General features: G+C 39.3%; 1 long non-coding RNA gene across 1 annotated transcript in view; it reads right to left on the minus strand.

Moving 5' to 3' along the window:
* The window catches only part of LOC102723739 (uncharacterized), a 55,283-nt gene that overhangs the window by 19,005 nt on the left and 16,359 nt on the right, over positions 1–19,919 (minus strand). The window lies entirely within an intron of this gene.

A 19,919-nucleotide genomic window follows, 5' to 3' on the forward strand; every position in this document is an offset into this window, starting at 1 on the left:
GATGACCTCACAGATGGGGGATGCTGATTAAGATGGCTACAGGAGGCTCCTTTCTTGTCTGACAGCCCATTGAGAAGCTTTGGTGAGATGTGACTAACAGGCCGTGAAGGTGTCTCCATCTTCTCTGACATGGTCCATGCTTTGGGCAAAACAAACATGAAAAATAAGTCTGAACTGACACACATGTTTGAATTTAGTTTTCAGAGCCATATTTGGGGGAAGGAGCACTGGTGGGGCCGTCAGCGATGATTCCTTTATGGTAAAGGGTGTTCGTGACTACTTGCGTGACTAATCGCATGACTGCGCTGGGGGGTGAGCCAACGGCAAATTGAGGTCTTGAACACTTGACAAAACAACCCCTGTTCTGTGGGTGAAATTCTATAGAGCTTCATGCGTAATTAAATGAAAGTTTCACAAGAGTCTACACCTCAATCATTTAATGCCGATATGTAGCACAAAGGAAGGATTTTTGCCACATCAAAATACATCCATGAAACAATGGAGAAATGTCCCAAGTTTTCAGAGTCAGAGATACTCACAGAAGAAACCCTGGAGTTCTCTTGACCTTCATTTAGTGCCTGGGACTCTGAAAAGAGATCACCATTATGCTCTCCTCTACCTCATACTAGAGGTGAGGATGAGAGCGCACCTCATACTGCATATCTTAATTCCTCTCCCAGGACAACTGGAAGGAACACCTATCCGTTTGCCATGTCACTAAAACAAAAATCACTCGTGTCTTGCAAAAACAGTTCAGATCTTTCTATTTAAAGAGCTTATCACTATATTAAACAAGGTTATATTGGAGTTTTGTCATGAGATTTAAGAACATTTCTTTCAAGTCTTTCTAACTAGTTGTTTTAGTTATTGATTGCTGAATAACAAATTAACTCAAAAATTAGTGACATCACAGTAGAAAATAAAATTACATAAAGATTTTTATAATGAGATTTAAGAAAGATTTTTCAAGCTTTACTAACTAGCTGTACTAGTTAATTAATTGCTTTATAACAAATTGCCACAAAATATGGTGGCATCAATGACAATAAACATTTATTATCTCATATAGTCTCTGTAGGCAGCCTCATAAGGTTGCAGTGCAGATGTTGACCAAAGCTGTGATATCATGTGAAGGTTTGTCTGGAGCTGGATGATCCCTCTCAATTTGGTTCGCTCACATGTCTGGCAAATTACTGTTAGTTTCATTCAGGAGGCCTCCGTTGCCACATCAGCTTCTCTACAGAGCTGCCTGCATATCCTCACGACATGGGAGCTAGCTTCCCCTACAGCAATAATCCAAGAGAAAAAAAAAACCCACAAATTCTTTTTTAACCTAGTGTGTCCAAGGTCATGCCCCACCATCTCCACAATATCCTAGTGGTCACACAGGTCAGCTCTATTCAGTGTGGGAGGTGAATACACACAGGCACGAATACCAGGAGGCAAGAATCTCTGGGAGCCATCTTGCAGGCTGGCTATCACATTTATTAAAAGTATTTCTTAAAGTATCTTCACCTGACCAAAAAATATAAAAACTATGATCATCGATGTGGTCGGCAAAAAGTCTGCAAGCGAGACAAAAATCAAAGAACTCTATGGTACACTTTGTAAAGAACGTATATTCCATTTGACTGAAAATATTTTCTTCTACTAACTGATACGTGTTTACATGTGGCACCTGTAAGACCAAAGTGAAGACATGAATTAAGAGATTACTCAAGAGAAATTGATTTTAGTAGATAAACAAGGTTTTTTGAAACAATTTGCTCCCTTTTGATCACAAGAGCAGGATTTTTGGCCTAAAGCATCTAGAAAACTGCAGTCTTCCTTTTCAGTGCATATCCATGGAGTAGTCTACAACCATTCACCACTGTGCCAGGCATAGGGAATTCAAGAGCAACAAGGTGAAGAAAATCTTAATCAGCTGATTGAGAATCCATTTTATGGAAAGATCCACCTCTTTGGGGAAATGGACTTGATATTTAGAAACTAAAACAATATAAAAATTTTCAACAATAGAAGGACAGAAATAGGATATGAATTAAACACCAAGCCTGTGGTAAATTTGCTTTCAGTGAAAAAGATGTAGAAGAGGAAAAAAAAAATAAGGAAGAGACGAAAGGAGAAAGAAGGAGCAGTGGACGTAGCTGAGGAGAATTATTTCCAACTTTTGAAACCAACAGTTGAACAATTGAGACTTATGGTGGTTTAGCACTACAGTCAAAACATCTTGTCTCCCACCCCAACTTCTATGACCTAAATAAATGCAGAGAGATAGCATATTTATGGATTACAAAACTCTATATTGTTAAAATGGCAATGCTGCCCAAATTCCTCCCAAGATTCAACACAATTCCAATCAAAATTTCTATAAGCATTCTTATAAAAATTGACAAGCTGATTCTAATATTTGTATGAAAATTCAAGGAACCTAGAATAGCCAAAGTAATTCGAACAAAGAACATAGTTGAAGGACTTACTCTATTTGACTTCAGTACTTACTATAAAGCTATAGTAATTCGTTCTGTTTAATATTATGGTAAAGGTAGGCATATAGATCAATGAAACAGAATACAGTCCAGAAATAGACCAGCTGAGTTTTGACAAACAAGCCAAGGCAACTCAATGGGGGAAAATAAAGTCTTTTTAATAAATGTCATTCAATAAACTATCCATTTTTTTAAAAAAAATCAATCCTACTCCCTACCATACACAAAAATCAACTAAAAATATATTCCACATCTTAATGTGAAATGTGAAACTATGAAACTTCTAGAAGAAAACACAGGAAAAATATTTGAGATCTTAAGGCAAGCAAAGATTTCTTAGATGTGACACCGAAATCACTATCCATAAGAGAAAAAATGTTGGTAATTGAACTTTATCAAAATTTAAAACTTTAACTCTTTGGAAAGCACCAATAAGAAAACAAAAGACTCATAAAAATATTTACAACATATTTATCTGGTAAAGAACTCACATCTAAAATACAGAAAGAATGCTTATAACTCGACAAAATGTAAACAGACTTTTGACCAAAGTCAAGATATGAATGGACAATCAACACATGAAAAGATGTTCAACATCATTTGTTATGACATATGTATACACTGCAGATTAAAACCTTAATGAGATACCACTACACGCCCATTAGATTGCCTAAGATTAAAAAGATCGAATAATACAATGAGCCTGAGATTCACTTAAAAATAAAAAAAATAATAAAAAAAAAAGATCGAACATACTAATCTTTTTACCAAGTGTTTGTGAGTATGGGGAAGTGGAACTCATATACTAATGAGGGGAATATAAAATAGTACAATAATGTGGTTTGACTGTGTCCCCACCCAAATCTCATCTTGAATTGTAGTTCCCGTAATTTCTACATGTCCTGGGAGGGACCCTGTGGGAGGTAATTGAATCATGGGGCGATTTTCCCCATGCTGTTCTCATGATAGTGAGTGAGTTCTCACAAGATCTGATGGTTTTATAAGCACCTGGCATTTCCCCTGCTGGTACTCATTCTGTCTCCTGCTGCCCTGTGAAGAGACCCCTTCTGCCATGACTGTAAGTTTCCTGAGACCTCCCCAGCCATGAGAAACTATGAGTCAATTAAGCCTCTTTCCTTTATAAATTACCCAGTCTCAGGTATTTCTTCATAGCAGCATGAGAATGGACCAACACATCCAACCACCACCAAAACAATTTGGCAGCTTCTTAAAATGTTAATTATACACCTACCTTGCAACTCAGTCATTTCACTTCTAAGTATTTAACCAAAAGGAACTAAAATGTACGTGCACACAAAGATTGCACATGAGTGTTCTTAGCAGCTTTATTTATGATAGCCCAAACTGGAAACTATTTATCAACAGGTGAATAGTTAAATAATGGTATCATATCATACAATGGAATACTATTCGTTAACTATAGTGATGAACTATTGACATAAGCAAAATGGCCAAATCACAAAATCATTATGAGTAATGAAAGAAAACAGACAAAAACAGACAATACAGAGTTAACAATTCATTCCTGGGCATGAACCCAGAGAATGCATATAACCACTAAAAACATTTACACAGGAATGTTCAAAGCAGCATTATTCATATCATCCCAACATGGCAAACCAACCAAAATATCCATCAACAATAAAATGGACTTTATAAATAGTGGTATGTTCCCATAATGGAATATTACACAGCAGGGGTCCCCAAACCCCAGGCCACACAGACCAGTACCAGTTTGTAGCCTATTAGGAACCAGGCTGCACAGCAGGAGGTGAGCAGTGGGTGAGCAAACATTACCACCTGAACTTCGCCTCCTGTCAGATCAGTGATGGCATTAGATTCTCGTAGGAGCACAAACCCTATTGTGAACTGCACATGCAATGGATCTAGGTTGCATGCTCCTTATGAGAATCTAATGCCTGATGATCTCAGGTGGAATAATTTTGTTCCTAAACCATCACCTCCCCCAACCCACTGTCCATGGAAAAATTGTCTTCCACGAAAGTGGCCCCTGGTGTCAAAAAGGTTGGGGACTGCTGTTATACAGTGAACAAACTACCTCTACATGCAAAAACATGGAACATTACAAACATAATGTTGAATGAAAAAAGATAGTCACCAAAGAGCACAAAAGTTCAACTACATTTATATAAAGTTCAAATACAGGAAAAACTAATTCATAATGTTAAAAATTATGATAGTGCTTACTATTGGGGTGAAGTGGATAGTGACTGGAAAAAGCACAAGAGGTGTGTCTGAAGTGCTGGTGATGTTCTATTTTTTTTATCTTGGTGCTGGCTACAAGAGTGTGTTCGCTTTATGAAAATTCCTCAAATGTACACTTATTATTTGGTACATTTGTCTGCATTTATGTTATATGTCAATAAAAAATGTACCCTGTAAAATCATGTTTTATGGTTAGATGATGCAGTTGAAATTGAAAATGATGGGTTTTGTGGAAATACAGATGTTCAGCCAACAGGAAGAAAAGTGACGTATACTTGGAGTTGACAGGATATTACTGGAGATAAATATGTCATTCCTTACAACAGTCACAGATAATGATAAAGGCAAAGGGAAGAGAAAGCTAAAGAAGGAATCTTGGTGAATGTTTACCTGTAGGTGTTGGAAGAAGAAAACAAAGAGATGGAAAAGGACCAAGACATGCATGCACATAGAAGCCAGGCTAAAGAATGCTTCAAAGAAGAGACAGGGGCAGCTAATCATCAACACAAAAGCAGCACAGTGGTTAAGAGTGTGGGCTTTGGAGCCAGAATTTCTGGATTCAAATCTTCCAATTTTCATCTATAAAATGGGGCTATTAGTTGATACTACTTCATAAAGTTAATTCATTTGAACAGTGGCTAGAATGCTCAAAAAGATGAGAAGTATAAGAAAAGATTGCTGGATTTAGTAGTTAGAATCAGGCTACAAAGTATGGTGAGAAAGTAGATGCAAAAAGAGGATTTTAATGAGCAGCCAGTGTCCATCCAAAAGGCCACAAATTGATTCTCCAGCTTTCTAATATGACACTAGAGTATGTCCAACCTTTCTAGTTCCGAAGTACTCACTTGTGGAGGCTACAGATTGGCTTAGGTCCCCATTAGGAAGGGACCTCAAGTTATCTGATCCAGAAAGAAACATTGGTTTTTTTCAGTTTTCTGGGAAGTTTGAATGCAGATATACTCACCTTATAGAAGTAATGCCTGGGGTGAGTTTCTGTTTCTCAGGTTAAGAAGTTTCTCCAATAAAATTCATCTCAGAAAAGAGAGAGGAGGAGGAGTCCTAAGTAATTATCCATAGAAGGCCAACTAACAGTTCTATCTAAAGTTTATTTTCCAGTGGTGCCACTGATTGGAAGGCCACTGGCTGAAATGCACGTGATGTAACTCAGTATTGCAAGTTGAGTCCTTCAGGGTTTCAAGTAAGGATGAGACTGGACCACAACCACAGAGAACTAATGTAAAATCCAAAAGATATGACATTGTGAAGAAATTACTACACTGAACACTGAGCATAAATTTCTATGTTCCTTGTAGAGAGTGCCAAACAGTATATCACAAAATTCATTTAAAAATATTCTTTGACTTAAAAATAATGTATCCTAAAAAAGGATACATTTATCCTAGAAATTTATCCTAAGGAAGAAGTTCAAAAGAGGCCAAATAAAAAGCTATATGTAATTTTGCAGTGTTGGTTCTAATAGAAAAAAGAAGTAGCAATAATAACCAATAGAAAAAAAGTTTTTAAAAATAGGCCTGAAAACAGCGTAAGTATTAGTGGCTATTAAAATAGTAATTATGAAGTCTATATAAACACATAGGGAAATGTTTATTATATCTTAAAATATAATAAATGAAAAAACAGGAAATAAAAAGGTACATAGACTGATTACTATTTTGTACAATATTGTATACATGTTGACAAGAAATCAAAAGGAATATATAAAAACAAAAAAAATGTCAGGAATAGATAATGAGTGGATAGTTTTTTCTTTTCTCAAAAATGTGTCAAGACTCCTGCTTCCAAACTAACACAGGAACAGAAAACCAAACACCACATGTTCTCACTCATAAGTGGGAGTTGAACGATGAGAACACATGGACACAGGGAGGGAAACATCACACACTGGGGCCTGTCATGGGGTGGGGGGCTGGGGAGGGATAGCAATAGGAGAAATATCTAATGTAGATGATGCGTTGATGGGTGCAGCCAACCACCGTGGCACGCGTATACCTATGTAACAAACCTGCACGTTCTGCATTTGTATCCCAGAACTTAAAATATAATAAAAAGATTTTTTTTAAAAATGAACAATTGAAGAAATAAAGAAGACTCCTGTTTCCAGGAAGATGAAACAGATATGCTTTTCTCATTCCTCTAAGTACAAGTGAAAATGCTGGATAGTATATATAAAGCAAACGTAAGATCACTTTGAAAGGTGAAGAGAAGACAGTAGAACAGCTAGAGACAGTGATACCCATAGAAAAATATGGTGAGTTCCATGGGTTTTCTTTCTGCCTTATATACTCCAGACTTGGAACTAAAGAAGTAGGTAACCTAGAAATGCCAACAAACACAGACCAAAAAACACCCCCAACAAAAGCTTACTCTCCTCAAGCCAAAGGACTAAGAAAAGAGCCGCATAGAAAGACAAAACAACTTTTAGATAATTTAGACAATAACCACTCTACCCTAGCTAAACCTCACAAAAATAAACAAACAACAACAACAACAAAAACCTGTGAGCCCATCCTCACCCACACAGGCAAGGGCAAGTGAGAGCCTAGATTTCCACCCTTGCAAGGCTCTATCGAGGCACTCCAAACCTCTTCCAGGGTGGTATTAGAGAAGGCCAAGAAGGCAACTAGGACTTTCATCCCAGCTGGCCAATAACAACCCACCTTCCTCCCTCATGGTACCAGTGGACAGCTTGTAGAGAACATGAACTTCTTCCAGTCCCACCTGGCAGTAACAAGGCATTTCTCCCCATAAGGTGGTATCAGTCAGGTAGAGAGGTGGGACTTTAATCATCACCCAGCAGTAATGAGGCTACCCTTACCACAGTGTCAGCAGAGACAACATGGAGAGCTGGAACTCCCTCTGCTCAGCAGTAATGAGAAGCCACCCTACCAAGAATTCATAAAGACTGAGTGGGGAACCTAGACTTCTATCTCTACTTGAAATTAACAAAAGAGCACTCTGCAACCTTTCCCTGACACAGTGACATCAGGGAAAGCCAGCCAATATTTTGCCAGCTAAACCAAAATATTGGAATAAAATCCAGAGTCTGATAATATAAAATGTCCAGATTTTAACTTTAACATTTACTCATCCTACCAAGAACTGGAAATATCTCTAATTGAATTTTTAAAGATAAACAATAAATGCCAACACCAAGATGAGAAAGCTGTTAAAATGTTTTCGACAAAGATTTCAAAGTAGTCACATTAAAAATGCTTTGACAAGCATTATAAACATACTTGAAATGAATACAAAAATATAAATTCCCAGCAAAAAAAAAAAATGTCAGGAAAGAAGTAAAAGAAATAGAGGAGAAGCAAATGAAAATTTTAGAACTAAGAAATAAAATAACTGAAATAAAAAGCTCAGGGGATGGGCTCAACAGCAGAATGGAGAAGATAGAGAAAAAAAATCAGTGAATTGGAACATAGAACAATAGAAATTACTTAGCAAATAGAGTGGGAGAAAATATGCATAAGGCCTCAAAGAATAGGGGGACAATAACAAAAGATTTAGCATGTATGTCATCAGAGTTCCAGAAGGAGACGAGAAAGAGGGTTGAAAGAGACCACTTGAAGGAAACAGGGCTGCAAATGTCCTAGCTTTGGCAAAAAGATATAAACCTACTTCTGAAAGCTAAAAATTAAAAAAAAAGTTTGAAAGCAATTAGAGAAAAATGACACCTTACCTGGGGGAAAACGATTAGAATGCCAGCAGATTTCTCATCAGAAAACATAGAGGCCAGAAGGAAGAGGCATAATATTTTCCAGGGGCTGAAAGAAAAGAACTGTCAACTGAGAATCCTATACCTAGTGAAAATATATTTCAGGAATGGAGGGGAAACTAAAGCATTCTAAAATGAAGGGCTAAATGAAGTTTTCTGAACAAAAGAAAAATAAAAAATAAGGAACTTGGAACATCAGGAAGGAAGAAAGAATTCAATAAACAGTAATGTGGGTAAATAAAATAGGCTTTCCTTCTCCTTATGAATGTTCTAAATTATGTTTGATATTTGATATTTATAACACTGCCTGACAATGTTCTAAATGTGTGTAGAGAACATATTTAAGACAATTATAAACAGGTAGAGGGAAAGGGGTATAAATGGAGGTAAGGTTTCTATATTTCACTCAAACTGGTAAAATGACAGTAACAGTAAACTGTGATGAGTTGTATATCTAATGTAACACTTATGGCAGCCATTTGAAAGGTTAAACAAAGAAACACACTTTAAAAATTGTAGATAAATCAATATAAAATTCTTTTAAATGTTTAATTCATAGGAAGGCAGGAAAACGAAAGCAGAGAAATGAAAAACAGAGCAAGCAGACTTAACTCTGAGTCTATCGATAATTACATGAACTGTCAATGGTCTGTATACAGCAATTGAAAGGCAGAGATTGGTAAAGTAGATTAAAAAGCATGACCCAACTATATTCTGTCTACAAGAAACTCACTCAAAATAATATATAGGCAAGTTGAAAGTAAATCAATCACATATGAGATGTCACACACACACCTATCAGCATGATTAAAATAAAAAATAGCAATGCTGCCAAATACTGGCCACATGTGTAGAAACTGGATCATTCATACATTGTTGATGGAAATAGAAAATGGTACAGCTATTCTGGAAACAGTTTAATGGTTTCTAAACAACTAAATATGCCACTATCATACAACCCAGCAATTACTCTTCTGCACTCCGGGGCATATCATTTATCCCAGAGAAATGAAGGCTCTTATTCACACAAAAACTTGTACACAAATGTTTATAGCAGTTTCTCTCATAATAGCTAAAAACTGGAAACAGCCCAGATGTCCATCAATGGAAAAATGGTTAAATAAATTGTAGTACATCCATATGATGGAATACTACTGAGAAATGAAAAAGAGAATAATCTTCTGATACGTAAAACAACCTAGATGAATCTCCAGAAAATTATGCTGAATGAAAAAAGGGAAGTCAAAAAGGTTGCATACAGTATGAGTCCATTTATATAATGTTTTTGAAATGACAAAATTATTGAAATGGAGAAAAAATTAATGTTGGTCAGTGATTATGGAAGGGGTAAAGATGGGAGGTAAGTATGTATGGCTATAAAAGGAGGAATCTGGCTGGGCGTGGTGGCTCACACCTGTAATCCCAGCACTTTGGGAGGCTGAGGCAGGTGGATCACCTGAGGTCAGGAGTTCGAGACTAGCCTAACATGGTGAAACCCTGTCTCTACTAAAAATACAAAAATTAGCCAGGCGTAGTAATCCCAGCTACTCAGGAGGCTAAGGCAGGAGAATTGCTTGAACCTGGGAGGCAGAGGTTGCAATGAGCCAAGATCACACCATTGCACTCCGCCTGGGTGACAGAGCAAGACTCTGTCTCAAACAAACAAAAAAAAAAAAAAAAAAGGAGGAATCCTTCTGGTGATGAAAATGTTACATATCTTAACTCTATCAATGTCAATATTCTGGATGTAGGATTATATTATCATTTTTAAAATGTTACCATTGGGAGAAACTGGGTACAGGACACACAAGATTTCTCTGTATTATTTCTTACAAGTGTTTATGAATCTATAATAGTTTCCAAATAAGAAGTTTTTTATGTATCACATTCCTTTTTATAGCAGACTCTTGACATTTGAGAATAATATGTCCAAACCTTCAAGAATCCTCAAATACTGGAAAGAGGGCATGTTTGCATAGGCTTTCTCTCACATCACACTTCCTGTAGCATCATGCATTTCCTGTACACATCCTCATACCACCTCATCACATTTCAGCTTTTACTGGTGCTTCCTCCTCCCTTTATGTTCGTTTTCCACAACACCATCCTCATTCCTCCAGAGCTACTAGACACAGAGAAAATCAAGAGCCTGGTGCTGCTGCAGGGAGCAGGTGCCAGGTCCCGGGCTGCTACAATCCGTGCCTCAGTAAAATGCCAAATTACCACCAAGCATGAGCCTCCAGGGAGGCTCCTGATCAGTGAGAACCACAGTGCTAAATCTAGAGATGCCAAAGGCATGCTGTATCACTCTCTTGATGATTATTTCTCATAAAAGAAAAACCAACATTAGTGCCTTTCCGCAATCAAAACCTCACCATAGCATCAGGACAAATGACATATGCTGGTGGCAACAGGAAATTTAAAAAAAAAAAAAGAATGAATCTTCCTATTGACTCAGACTGATGCGGAGTGGCAGACCTCAGCAGAGCAGGCTCAGAATGACAGCTTAGCAGACCTGGTGCAGTTATGCATGGTGCCTGGGTGGCTGTCACTGAAGGCCCTTTGAGTACCTCCCCAGATGAAGCCCCAGCTGGATGCCTGAGCTGTTTTTTTAACCCTAACAAGATCTGTCATTAAACCTTACTGGAGCCTGACTTTGCCTCTTTCCCTCCAGGCCTTTCTAGTGGTGGTCAAAGGTCACGTCATCCTTCAACACAGGCTTCTGGGCCCCCGGCTTTTGTTCCCCAGACCGCATAGTGATGATGGGCAAACAGCCTCTTGGCCCTTGGAAGACACACATGAAATCAACGAACCATGGTCCTTAACAAATGGGCCCCTTCAAGGCCAGCCAGCCAGCTACAACTACTTATGATATTTACAGCTTTCTGTCTGCACAGATTAAACCCAGGGAATGAAAAATGGACTCCTTAGTCTGGTAAACTTATGTCATTCCTTATTAAGACAAATTGAGAACAGAACTAGATTTTGTTGAGAAACAACTTCTGCTTCTAAAAACAATCTGGGGTGAGAATAGGAACATTTCTGGGGACAAGGACTTCTTATACAATATTACTGTTTGGTGACAGTGTTTTCTGGTAATTTCATAAACACACTGTGTTGTTTTCTAGCAACAGAATATATTTTGGCCAAGAACAATATTTATCACTTATTTGTTGTCAATTAGTGCTGTAAATAGACACCTTGTGAATGCATTCCTCAGCAAAGAATCAACATGAAAGCAATAAGACCTTGGCAGCCCAAGTTATCATCTTTTTGTTTGAAATGTGGACATTGTTTCTGAAGACACATCAGCACTTTGGATGCTGAGGCTGAGGGAAGTGTTATCTCATTATCTTTTCAATCTAAGAATCATACATCTAAGGGCAGTGAATTTTGGCTGGGTAACCCTTTTTCCAAAGAAAGCATATGCACGAGCTCAATGCGTTGATTTAAAACCAGAAGTGCTTTGATTCAAGTTAAGTAGGAGGCCAGAGCTTGGCCTGATCAGCAACTGTACCTGTCCATGCCCACGCCATCCCACAGCCCCCCACCCAAGAGCCTTCCTTGAAGAGGTTCTATAGAGCATAGCTTGAAAATCAGGTCTGTCAAATATGTCTGGAACTAGTTGCCAGAAGATCAGGGTGCCAGATGAACCTTCTGCAAAACGATGGAGCTTGGGGAACTGCCACAGTCCCACTGTGCCTGGTTTCCTTATCTAGTAAACACAACTCTCCTTTTCTGCTGGCCCCAAGGAGCTATAATGAGAATGACTATGGAATAGAGAGGAAAGTGTGTTGATAAGCCCATGTGTGGGGGTTATAGCTCATAATAGCTGTTATTTTAAACAACTTCATTGATGTAATTCACATACCATACAATTCACTCATTGAAAGTGTACAATTCAATGGTTTTAGTGTATTAACAGAGTTGTATGAACATCGCATTCAATATTAAAATGCTTTCATCACGCCAGAAAGAAACCCCATACTCATTGGCAGTCACTCCCCATTTCTCCCCAGCCCACACACAGCCCCAGGCAACCACCAATCTACCTTTTATCTGCACAGATTTGCTTATTCTAGATATTTTGTATAAATGGAATCATGTAATACATAATTCTTTGTAACAAATTTTTTAAATTTAGCATAATATTTTCAAGATTTATCACTATTTTATTTCCTTTTATTGCAAAATAATATTCCATTGCAGGGATACACCCCACTTTGTTTATCCATCTACCAGTCATGAACATTTGGGTTGTTTCCATATTTTGGCTGTGATGAATAATGCTGCTATGAATCTTCATGTACAAGGGTGTTTTTTTGTTTGTGTTTGTGTTTGTTTTTGTGGACATGTGTTCTTATTTATCTTGGGTGCAATACCTGGAAGTAGAACTGCTGAGTCATGCAGTAGCTCTGGGTTTAACCTTTTGAGGATTTACTAGGCTGTTTTCCAAAACTGTTGCACCATTTCCCATTCCCATCAGCAATGTATGAGGGTTCTAATTTCTCCACATCTTGATCAATATTTGCTATTACCCATCTTTTTGACCTGCCTTTTTGTACTCACCATGCTACTGAGTGCAAAGTAGTATCTCCTTGTGATTTTGATTTGCATTTTCCTGATGGCTAGTGATGTTCAGCATCTTTTCATGTGTTCATAATGGGTCTTTACTTTTTAAGATAATGGCAGGAAATTTAACAGAGAAAAGTATCAACATAGATAGAACTCCACAAGCACCAATCGTTTTCTATGTGTCAAATGTACTTCTCACTTGAAGACTGGAAAATATTTTTGCTTAAATTATGACAACTATCTGTCTCCTCCAGTATCCACCCCTCCTTCCCAAATCACCTAACGCCATTACTATGTTTCAAATTGGGCCAAACTCTAATGCAAGAAAGATGTTTTCTTCATTAATCTGAAAAACAAATGAGCTCCAAGACCTAGTCAGTAACTCACTTTCTCAACAAATGCCAACATACCAGATCATCCAAATGGCACAAGACTGCCACTCCTCACAACCCTGGAGGGCAGGATTCACATGGCAGTCTGTGTGCCTAGCATCCATGGGAGGCAGGCCCCCCACAACACACCTTTATTGGACTGCATCCCTGTGAGTAGTTCTTTGGTCAATCATGGGAGTGGTTTTGCACTGGCCCAATGGGCATCTACATGGTGGCCAGGTAGGGTGTAAGGGCAGAGTTAGACTGGCTTCATGGATCTGTTCTGTTTACCTAACCATTGATTTAACAGGCTTGCCTAGAGGAGTGGCCACCCCAACATCTACAGGAAGTACTTCCTCAGGCACAACCAGTTACTGATGACAGCTCTGTACAGTGGTTAGGAGCAAGAGCTGGCAATGACTCTTTGATCAAGGAGTCTTGATCAAAGCCCTTCCCCATCTTCTGCAAGCTCCATGATCTTACAAAGATTCCTTTATGCTTCTGGATCTTAGTTTCCTCCTCTGTGAAACAGTGTGATTAATAATACATCGCTCAAAGAGTTGTTGTGAAAATTAAGGCAACAATGTATATAAAACATTTAGCAGAGTGCTTAGTACATAGTAGGTCCACAGCTGGTGTTTTTATTATTTTTATTACCAGCAGTCCACTATTCACAAGGATTTCTGGCTTCCAAGTCTTCATATTAACTGTTCCCTTTGTCCAGAATGCTGTTTCATACACTTTTCCCAGTTAATTCCTACTAATCCTCTAACCTGGCTTACAGGGACCCCTCCTGGAACCCTCCCTTCCCTCTACTCCCAAGAGTAGGTGCCCCACATATGAGCTCACAAGCTCCAGATGGTCCATATCACCCTGTCTCCAATCGCCTGTGTGCTTGTCTGCACCAGCCAGCAGACACTGGGCTCCCGCAGTTGGTGGGAACTCCATCAATATTTGTCCTCGTTTTGCCGGTCCCTGAATCTGAGTAGCAGCCTCTTTGCCATCCTCAATGCCTCCTTCAAAGGAAAAGAATCTAATATTTTCTGAGTGTTCACCGTGTGCCAGTAATTTCCCTATGTTAGTTCATTAATTTGCCTAATAGAAGATTGGGTGAGGTAGGCATTTCCCTGTTTTTAGGATAAGGAATCAGTGGCTCAGGGGGTTAATTAACGGAATTAACTAACCACAGTTTGCCTAAGGTCTCACAGGCACAGGGCTGAGGCTGGCACCCAGAGTCAATGTTTTTGCAACACATCCCCAGAGTTTTGCCCTGTCTTATGATTCAGTCCCAATTAAGCTACAGGGATCCACAGGCTCACTCAACTACTTTCTCTCTCTCTCTCTTTCTTTCTTTCTTTCTTTCCTTCCTTCCTTCCTTTATTTTTCTTTCTTTCCTTCTTTCTTTCCTTCTTCCTTTCTTGCTCTCTTGCTTTCTCTTTTCTTTCTTTCTGTCTCTTTCTTTTTTATTTGACTTATAAGCTACAAACATTTATTTCTCATAGTCTGGAAGCTGGACGTCTGAGATCAGGGTGCCAGCAAAGTCGTGTCCTGGTGAGGGTGCTCCTCCAGGTCGCAGACTGCTACCTTCTCCCTGTGCCCTCATAGGGTGAAGGCACCTCAGCTACTTCTTGTTATCGGCCGCCTGAAAGAATACATTTTTTCCCCCGTATGCTTTATTATAAAAACACCCAATACTTTACTAAAATGTGCTCCTTCTGTCTAGCTGGTTTGGGATGTTTAGGAGGAGTCAGGGACAAATCCTCCCTGGGGGCCTTTCCCAGGGAGCGCTGAGGTCTGGTAGTCAGAGACGGGTCCTCTGGGGAATCAGAGATGAAGATGACAGAGGAAAGGTGGAGGTTTGGCAGGGAACAGCAGACAATGGCTGTGGTTGTGCCTCTGGCTGATGGTTTCCTGAGAGGCTTTGCAGTTTGAGCTGTTACACATCTGCTCTGGGTCAGTGTCCCCAGACCTTCTCTGTGCTGCCCCAGCCCTGCCAGCAGGCAGGACTATTCACGAGGAATCACATGGGATTGTAAACCCCTGGGGCTTGGAGGAACCTCTCCTCCTCATGGGGAGACTGTCATAAAGGTGGCTGCTTCCAGGGAAAGGCTGTGGCTGTACACAAGGACTCATTTTTCTGTCAAAATGAAGAACTCCAGAAGCGCACATGTATTTGGCAGCGCATCTACTATTCGCCAGCATCTGTTTTGTGCAACATGATTGTTAATGAACTGAAAAGGATCCTGCTGCTGCTGCTGCTGTTATTTTGAGGACACAGGAAGCAAAATCAGGAATTCATTTGTTCCTTAGTTTGTTCAACAAATCTGTACTGAGCACCTCCTCTTTGCAAAGTAAAGAAGAGAAAAAAATGAGATGAGGTTATGTTCTGGGTCCTCCAGACAAGTGTTGGGGGAAAGGCTGTATTTGTGAGGAACTGTCGTATCTGTGCATCTCATGCACATTGAGCCCTCAACAAAGGAAGGGACCCAGCTACAGCAAATCGGTCTGCAACGAGGAGGTGAAGAGTAGAATCTCCGCAGGCCAGCAAGCAACAAAAAGCACTCCAGGTGGAGGGAAAAGCATTAACAAACGTGGAGAAGGGAAAGCAGAACATATGAGAGAATTGCAAGTGATTTCTTTTTGACTGAAACAAAATTATATGAAGGAAGGAAATAATTCTGGCAATGCAATTGGAGCAGGATCCTAAGGGCCTTGAATGTCACACTAAGAAGTTTGCAAGCCACCAAATAGCTTAAGTAAATGATAGAGTGTCCTGACTGGGACTATATTTCAGAAAGATAAATTTGCAAACAGCATACAAGATGGACAATGGTCAAGGTGGGAGAGAATAAAACCAAATATAACAGAATCTGATAAGAGGCTTGCATCAATCAGCATAGACTTAATTATATTATAGTAACAGACAACCCTCAAATCATAGCAGCTGAAACAATAAGCGTTTATTTCTTGCTCACGCTATATGTCACTTGTGAGTTGGCTAGAGGCTCTGCTCTTCATACCCTCTCTCCCAAATCCAAAGTGTCAAAGAAGCTAGGATTGCAAATACTGCCAGATGCTTTGACAGAAGGGAAGTTACCTCATACCGTATACAAAAATGAACTCAAAATGGATCAAAGATCTAAATTTAAGAGACTAAATTATAAAACTACTAGAAAAAAACATAGGGGTAAATCTTCATGACCTTGGATTTAGCAATGGATTTTTAGACATGACATCAAAAGTACAAGCAATCAAAGAAAAAATAAATAAATGTTAGACCTCAACAAAATTGAACACTTTTGTGCTTCAAAGAACACCATCAAGAAAGTGAATAGACAACCCAAGGAATAGGAGAAAATATTGACAAATCATATCTGATAAAGGACTTGTACCTAGAATACATAAAGAACTCTTACAAGTCAATAATAAAAAGCCAAATAACCCAATTTGAAAATAGACAAAAAAACTGAACAAGTATTTCTCCATAGAAGATACACAAATGGCCAATAAGCACATGAAAAGATGTCCAACGTCATTAGTCATTAGGTAAACACATGCCAAAACCATAATGATATAGCCACTTCACAACCAATAACAGGGCTGTAGTTTTAAAAAGTCAAATAATAACAAGTGTTGGTGAGGATGTGAAAGTATTGAAACCTTCATACACTGCTGGTGGAAATATAAAATGGCACCATCACTTTGGAAAACAGTCTAACAGCTCATCAAAAATGTAATCACAGACTTTCCATTTGGTCTAGCAAATCCACTCCTAGTTATATACCCGAGAGAAATGAAAACAGGACAAGGCATGGTGGCTCGTGCATGTAATCCAAGCATTTCAGGAGGCCAAGGCAGGCAGATCACTTGAGGTCAGGAGTTTGAGACCAGCCTAGCCAATATGGCAAAACGCCATCTCTACTAAAATACAAAAATTAACCAGGCATGGTGTGTGCCTGTAATCCCAGCTACTCAGGAGACTAAGGCAAGAGAATCGCTTGAACCCGGGAGGTGGAGGTTGTGGTGAGCCAAGATTGCGCCACTGCACTCCAGCTTGAGCAACAGAGTGAGACTCCGTCTCAAAAAAAAAAAAAAAAAAAAAAAGGAATAATAACAGGTCTACACAAAAACTTGTATGTGAATGTTCACAATGGCATTATTCATAATAGCTAAAAACAACCCAAATGTCCAACAGCTGATGAATAAACAAAATGTGGTATATATGCACAATGGTATTTTATTTGGTCATAAAAAAGAATGAAGTACTGATACATACTACAACATAGATGAACCTTGAAAACAAGTGAAAGAAGCCAGTCACAAAAAAAGCGCATATTATATGATTCCATTTACATAAAATTTCCAGAATAAACAAATACATACAGATGAAAGTAGATTAGCTTAGGGCTGAGGGGGATGGGGAGATTGGAGGGAGACAGCTAATGTGTACAGAGCTTCTTTCTTAGTTGATGAACTATTCTGAAGTTCATTGTGGTGATGGTTGCACCACTTCATGGATATATTAAAGCCATTGAATTGTACTCTTTAAGTGGGTGAATGGTATGGCATGTGAATTATATCTTAAAGAAGCTATTACAAAAAATGGAAGTGAACATTGCCTTAGAGCACTTAATGTTCCTAAAAAAAAAAAATGGCTTCCAATTTCATCTAGCTGAATTGTACATTAGGCATCCTTATATCCCACAGAAGAACCAGAAATGCATGCCTGGCCTTTCCTGGTTTCTGTACACATAAGAAGAGTAAGCAAAATGTTTGCACTACCTCTGACTTCAGCCAATACCCAGGGTCTTACTGAGGGTCCACCCATTATACTCATTGGACTCCTAAGGATGTCTGTTGTCCTGGATGAAGAATGTAACAGGGCATTTTTGGTGGCTTATCAAAAGCTGCTATTCCCAACACCCACTGCTTGGTACAGAACTCTGGAGGAAAGAGATGGGAAATGTTAATGGGGCTCAAGATGCTTCTAAGGAGGAAATGGACCATGACCTGCAGCTTTTCCCTTAAGGAAACCAACGTTATTAGATTCTTTGTAATATACTGAGCTTTAACAGATGTTCTCAGTCAAGAAAGGACACCAGTTAGAATCTCAACAGGTGTGAAAGGAGTCTAGAACAAAGACTGGCTCAGGGGCAGGCCCTTGGCTGTGGTAGAGGGAATAGTAGAGACCATCCAGGTGTCCCTCATGGTCCCAGGACAGGAGCAAGCAGGATGGTAAAGAACACTCACCGACTTAGGTGTCTATACGGTGGAAAGCCTCCTAAGAAGGACAACCTAGAATTCCTGCCCAGAGCACACAATAAAGATACTGTATAAAATGGTATGACTGAGGCACAGCTTTGTTTGCTGGTTCAGGATATTTAGACCTCATGCTTAACTAAAACCTGCCAGCAAGCAATTCTCCAATGCCAGTTTTAATGAGATATCACCTGTTAATTCTGTAAAGATAATTATCTTCAGTTGAATTTAAGATTAGCATTATGGTATTACTGGAAGCATCATGAAATGTATATCTACCTTCATTATTTCTGGAAGAGAAATTGCAGATAGAAAAAAACTTTTTATTGCCATAATCACTGCAGTTGTTTATTGAATGACAGCAAGTCAGTACTTACACAGGCAGGCTATCCACATCATATGGGCCCCAGGATTAGTCCATTCTCGCATTGCTTTAAAAAAAATACCTAAGATTGGCCGGGCGCTGTGGCTCACGCCTGTAATCCCAGAACTGTGAGAGGCCGAGGTGGGTGGATCACCTGAGGTTGGGAGTTTGCGACCAGCCTGACCAACATGGAGAAACCCTGTCTCTACTAAAAATACAAAATTAGCTGGGCCTGGTGGCATATATCTGCAATCCCAGCTACTCAGGAGGCTGAGGCAGGAGAATTGCTTGAACCCGGGAGGCAGAGGTTGTGGTGAGATGAGAGTGCGCCATTGCACTCCAGCCTGGGCAACAAGAGCGAAACTCTGTCTCAAAAAAAAAAAAAAAACCTAAGATTGAATAATTCATAGAAAAGTAAGGTTTAATTGGCTGGAGGTTCTGCAGGCTATACAGGAAGCATAGTGGCTTCTGCTTCTGGGAAGGCCTCAGGCAACTTACAATCATGGCAGAATACAAAGGAGGAGCAGCATAAGGAGCAGCAAAGTGGGAGGGAGGTGCTACACACTTTTAAACAACCAGATCTGCTGATAACACACTCACTCACTATCCTGAGAACAGCACCAAGGAGATGGTGCTAAACCATTTATGAAGGATGCACCCCCATGGTCCAATCACCTCCCACCAGGCCCCACCTCCAACACTGGGGATTAAAATTCAACATGAAATTTGGGTGGGGACACAGATCCAAACCCTGTCAGCCCCCAACATAAACATGGTTCTGTCTGCTTCAAGGAAGATCCTTTTGCATGTTCCATAGCTTGTTCTCAAACTGCCCATATGATAACTCAATTAATCTCCACTTTTCCATTTTC

The sequence above is a fragment of the Homo sapiens genome, chromosome 2 (genome assembly GCF_000001405.40).
Source record: "Homo sapiens chromosome 2, GRCh38.p14 Primary Assembly".
Classification (NCBI taxonomy): Eukaryota; Metazoa; Chordata; class Mammalia; order Primates; family Hominidae; genus Homo; species Homo sapiens.